The 6,000-nt window shown below is 44.3% G+C and overlaps 1 protein-coding gene across 5 annotated transcripts in view; it reads right to left on the reverse strand.

Moving 5' to 3' along the window:
* The window catches only part of BTC (betacellulin), a 49,765-nt gene extending 44,382 nt beyond the window's left edge, over positions 1 to 5,383 (reverse strand). For all 5 annotated transcript variants that reach the window (NM_001316963.2, XM_047416103.1, NM_001729.4 and 2 more), the window contains exon 1: positions 5,122 to 5,383. In NM_001316963.2, the coding sequence (NP_001303892.1) occupies positions 5,122 to 5,185 (64 nt within the window). In that variant the 5' untranslated portion in view covers positions 5,186 to 5,383. The remainder of the gene's footprint in view (positions 1 to 5,121) is intronic.
* Between the last annotated feature and the right edge of the window lie 617 nt (positions 5,384 to 6,000).

Consider the following 6,000-nt stretch of genomic DNA (forward strand, 5'->3'; position numbering starts at 1 on the left):
GGGCTATAACTGTAAACAATCCCTGCCATCGTGGAGCTTACATTCTAAGGAAACAATTCAAAGCACTTTTGAAAGCATGGCCATGGTGGGCAAATTCCTGCCCTATTTTCCTTTTGCTTGCCTCCATAATAGTGGTGACTATTATGGCAGTTTCCTTTGATCAAAGTACAAACTCTAACACTCCAATTAGCTTAATAAACACTGATTCTAGTTCTTTTTAGACAAATACCTATGAAATAATTGAAAAGTTATCTGAATATTCACAAAGTTAAAATAGTAATAATACATTGAATATTACCTGCCAATTATTCTTCTAAAATCTTTTTCTGCATTTTCTCATTTTATCCTCAAAATAATTCTGTGTCTCTAAATGATAGTTATCTTTATTAACATTCTATAGGTGAGAAAATTACACAAAAGGAGTTTAAGCAACTTTCTCAATGTTACAAGGCAACCATTATAGAATAAAAATATTTATGCATGGCTATCTGTTCTTGAGCATCTGAAAAAATTATTTTGTCCTAAGAAAACTTTCCTAAATTAATGTATTTTTCTTATAGAGAAACAACTTTTGACATTGCATCATCATCCATTATTCTAAAATGACAGTTTTATTTATTTTTAATTAAGGCAATTATTTATATAATTCAAATAAATCTGACAACCCGATTTTCATGAGATTTCCTAAAATATTAAAATTACCTTCTAAATATTTTATTTTACTCTGCTAGTGCAGTCTAACTTCTGTGTCTGATATCAATGCTAGGCAAGTGCAGTAAAGCTCTTCATTGCATGAAATTAGGATCAAAATTGGCAGAGGAAGAAGAATCTGTAGAGGCATTTATTTTTTCAAAAGTAGATATGCATTTTACTTTTGCAGCTTTATTTTTTACATTTGTTCCTTTTTGACAAACCCAGTCAAAATAAAACTTTTTTGAGGATTTTTATCTATTACCTATTTCATAACTAGCGGGAGCAGGAATTTGAGAAATGAAGGCAACAGAAAGTCTTCCCATTAATTAGTAGAGCCTGATGACATTCGGGAAGTATCCAGAATCAAAATGTCAAAAAATTTTAAGAGGTATTGATAACAATGAATGATTTGTCCTGTGCTTTCCTACTGTCTATTATAATAACTCATGCTTATTCTATGTTTGGGGCACATTTTGAGTGGCTTTACATAGTATTGCATTTAATTCACGTAATTGCATTGGTCCTATTACTATTAGCTTTTACAGGTGAGTAAACTGGGCCAAGGAGGTTTAAGAGACTTGCCCGAAGTTTCAGAGCTAGCAAGTCACAGCACCAGGAGGCCATGCCCCAAAGGTCTGGTTCAGAGTTTACAGGCTTGACCACTACATGACCCTGCCTCAAGATATGCTCTTTTTACCCATTTTCAGTAATTGCCATGTGGGTTCTATCAGGGAGACTATGAAGCGATGTCACCCCTTCTCCATCTGCCCAAAGGAGCATCCTCTAGGTGTTGGTGCACTAAGCAGACTGGAGAATATACAGGAGTCACCCACAAATTCAAGGATAGAGTCAGACTAGAATAGAATCAGAATAGACACTGAGTGACACAGGCCAGACACAGTCCAAAATAAAGCACCTGGTCTGACCAATACCAACTGAACATTATTAGTCAGGCTAGCCTGGCCCTGAGCTAGGAGAAGCAGGGTTTCCTGGAAGCAAGGAAGAGCCAGGAGTCCAAGAATCTGTCAGAGAATAGCCAGAGCCAGGGATGGCACAGATGTATGGGTAGGCAGTAGGGAAAGCAAAGGTGTAGGAGACAGCTAGGATGAGCTTACATGCTTTTTAAATAAGTCAAAAGAAATGGTTTCCAGTATTGGTTTTTCCTGTTATATGCAACGCAACGTCTCTGCACTGGAGTGTCCTATCTCTCCCTAGACAGGACATTCTGCACTTGAATGTCCTATCTCTCCCTACCTAATTCAGCAACAAATATTTATCTGCTACGATCTCTTGAGACCAGGAGTTTAAGACCAGCCTGGCCAACATGCCAAAACCCCGTCTCTTCAAAAAATACAATAATTAGCTGGGCGTGGTGGCGAGTGCCTGTTGTCCCAGCTACTCGAGAGGCTGAGACAGGAGAGTCACTTGAGCCCTGGAGGCGGAGGTTGCAGTGAGCTGAGATCATGCCACTGTAACTGAGCCTGAGCGAAAGAGTGAGACTGTCTCAAAAAAAGAAAAAAGAAAAAGAAAAAGAAAAAGAAAATACAGTAGAGAAATACGAGCCCATTTTGGAAAATCTCATTTTTTGAGAAAGTAAGATTAAATGGCTCAGGATTTCTACTGACTTAGAAAATGCCTTTAAACAGTTTTAGAAAATTAAACCAAATTAATGCATATAAAGAATATCGATAACACATAAACGTGTAATTTATATTTATATTAAATGTATTTGTACCATATAATCTGCTTATGGTATACCTTCTTTTTATATCTCCAACCCCACTTCTGTCTTTATAAAATTTCTCAAAGAAAGTAGTACCTAATTTGCATATGTTAGAATGGAAATTATCCTGTAAAGATGCATCTACTAAATGCCAGATGTATTTAAGGAGCATCTACATTTGTAATAGACATAAGCCATTTCTAATTTAAATCACATGTTATTTTGTTTACTTTTTGAAAAGAATGTGACATGGAAAGGGCATCACCATCTAATGAAACCTCTTCATTTTACAAATTAGAAAAACAATGCCCAGAAAGTTGTAACTTACAGACATCTCGGAGTCATGAAGTGGTAGAGCTGGAACCAGGGCTCATGTCTGCTCAATGCCCACTCTCATCGCATTTCCACCATCTCACACACACACACACACACACACACACACACACACACAAACACTAGTGTCTCATGCATCTTATTGCTCACATTCTTTTCAAAAAGTAAATAGAACAACATGTGACATAATTTAGGAAGGGGACTTAAAAGTAAAGTGTGTATGACAGAAATAGGGCCACTTAATGGAAACAGCGATGCCAACAAATTACGTTCCTTAGCATTTTGCAAGAAATAGAGCTTTAAGGGGATCTAGAGACCAAATTCAATTTCCCAAGCCAATCATTTAACAGGGCGGTTGTACATTTAGGTTACCCTGAGTGTACAATAGCACTGGATTCGAGTTTTGCTTTTTGATTTTCATTTCTGTCTTTTGACAAGTTTTGTGATAGTAAAGGGGAAAGAATGTCCATCGACTTTCAATAGTCATTTCTACTATGACACCTCTGCTAAAACATCACCCTAATTTAGGCCCCAAGTAGCTCATGCCCAGATTATACCTACGAGACAATCAGGTCCTCTGGCCCACAGGCGCCCCCCCTTCCTATACTGCACCTCACTGACAGATTTATCACCTTTAAACCATTGTTTGCATCATATCACTCCCAGTCAAGCCCTGTGATGGTGTGTGTTTAATAGCTTATTGATTCTGTTCCAAATATTCTAATCTGGCTTTTTCAGTTCTTCATAATCTGTCTGCCTCTCAGAAATTCTACTCTTTCCAGTAAAGCATGCTCATTCGCATCGCCAACCCTTTACTAAATGCTTTTTCCCTTGTCTCTGTTCCCTCTTTCCTCTCTACTATTGCAAACTCTACCCAAGCCTCAAGGCACGCATTCGTGTCCTCCATTCAGCCTTTCCCCACTATTCCAGCCCCCGCTGTTGAGCTCTTTCTCCCTTTTCTGATTCCGTGAATTTTTCCACAGGTTACCCTGCTGGGCTTGCATATCCAAATTCAGTGCAAGTTCTAGGGCAGGAATCATGTTTTATTTTAGGAATCTCATGAGCCCTTTCCCCACCTCCATTGCTACATACCTCAGCACCTTGCTGACTACGACAGATTCTCAGGGAATACTTTGACTGTTGGATAGTTTAGACACGGTGGAGGAAGAGAATGTCAGCTACTTGCAAGCAATGCTGGCAAAAGCATCAGTACTATTTCTAGGGTTAAGTCTCAACCCCATTGCTCTTCTTCATGAATGTACACATTCACTCTACCACTAAATTGTTACTGACTCCTTCCTCTTCAGCGTTTGTTAAATAAGTTTATTTTCTCTAACCTTGGTCCTAAGTCTGATCCACCTCCAAGCAAGTTCACTGTACCTTTTTAGCCACCTCTCTTACTCCAAGGACACAGTCAAATGAAAGTTTTCATTTAGGCTCCCCCTCTCTTTCCTCAATAAGAGGAATTCCCATTCTTTTTCATTTGTGGTGTCCCCTTCCCAGGCTTGAAGGTAGGAGTGATATCGTGGTGACACTTCAGCTGTGGAGACTCTCCTCCTACCACATAAATGCTCCAAACCCAGATGTGTCTACAGCCCAGCTAAGATTAGAAAATGTTACTGGTTTCCCTTCCCTTCTCTGCCCCGCAAAATGACCATGATGCAGAGAGCAAGCTTTGAAGAGTTGGGATTTTTTCCTACTTAGAAGCCTTCTCACTACCTTCCCTCGGTGGAGGGGAAGGGGAAGCCTGCTTCCAGCCACATCTGAAGTTCCAGCTCTGCTTTGTGAGTTCTGACTCCTAAGGAGGCAGGAGAGACCCTCTGGAGGGCTCTAGGCATCCTGCTACTCCTCCTCCCGCTGGCACTCTTCCCTAACGCCAGGTGATCACACCTTCAGTCAAAGAGTTCCCGTTCTTCTGCCTCCTGCAGGATATGCTTCTTGGTCTATACTACCACGTGAGCTTCTTTAGTGGGTTTCCCTGCTCGCCCCTGCCCCCACCCCCCGACCCTCACTTGCGAGCACAGCGCCTCACCCCGGTGGACAGCCCGCCGGCGCCGCCAGGCCCTCTGCTGTGCGCACAAGTCAGCAGCTGGCGGCCTGCTCGCAGCACTGGCAGCGAGGACCTCGGAATCGCTTCCGCCCTCGGGCCTTCTCACGCGTCTAGGGACTGCCTCCAGCAGGTGCAGCCCCAGGTGCCCAATTGCCAGATCTTTAACCTCGCGCTCTCCCAGCCTTCAAAGTTCTCCAACCCGCGCCTGCCAGCCCCAGCGCGCCCTCTTGTCCAGATGCCAGCTCGGTTCAGGGTTCGCCCTCCCCGCGACTCCAGCCCCAGACTTTCCTCCTGGTTTCCAGTGCCCAGCACGGCCACTTACCCAGGGCAAGGGCCAGGAGCAGTGGCAGGGAGCTGGCGCCGCTGCACCGGGCGGCCCGGTCCATCAACCCCGCTCTGCCGGGCCGGGCAGCCCCTAGACAAGTCTCCCTCCTTCTTCGCCCCCTTCCCGGGCCTCGGGCGCCTGAGAGGGTGCCTGGAAACTAATCCCGGAGGCAGAAGGAAACGAAACTACTTCCCAGGCTGGCACCCTGGCTACAAGGCAGGGAAACACCCAGGGCGGGAGGCCGGCCGGCTCCGTGAATGTCGCCGGGAGGAGGGAGCCTCCTATTTATCCCCCCTCCTCCTGCACACACCCCGCCAAAGAGGCGCAGGACTTGGTCCTGGGAGCCTCCACGCTGCTCCCACCCAAATTGCCCCACACCCATACCCACACCCAGGGACATATTCGGGCTGCCCTCGGACCAGCTCACCACTCCCCCTGCTGGGTCTCACCTGACTGACTGTTCATTTCCCTACCCCCTAGGGCGTAAACAAGGTAGGGAGGGAGATGTAAAGAATCCGCGTGGAGGGGTGTCGGGGGTTCCGGTCGGGCCTGCAGGCTGACCTAAACTCCTGGAAGCCACCGAGGAAGAGTCAGAGACCCAAACGTGTTCTGGAATTCTAACTTCCTTTATTTCAGAGGATTGCTAGTGTCATGGAGAAACCAGACTCACCATTCATTGTGGTTGACTTCAGGCATTTGATAATGCAGGCAATTTCAAAAGAGTCATTGTTGCCTTTTAAAGTCTTGAAGCCATAGCGAAACCTCGTCTCTACAAAAAATACAAAAGTAAATTAATAGCCGGGTATGGTGGTGTGCACCTGCAGTCCCATCCATTCCCTGAGGCTGAGGTGGGGAGGATCGCTTAAGCTTGGGAGA

This window comes from Homo sapiens, chromosome 4, assembly GCF_000001405.40.
Source record: "Homo sapiens chromosome 4, GRCh38.p14 Primary Assembly".
NCBI classification, from domain to species: domain Eukaryota; kingdom Metazoa; phylum Chordata; class Mammalia; order Primates; family Hominidae; genus Homo; species Homo sapiens.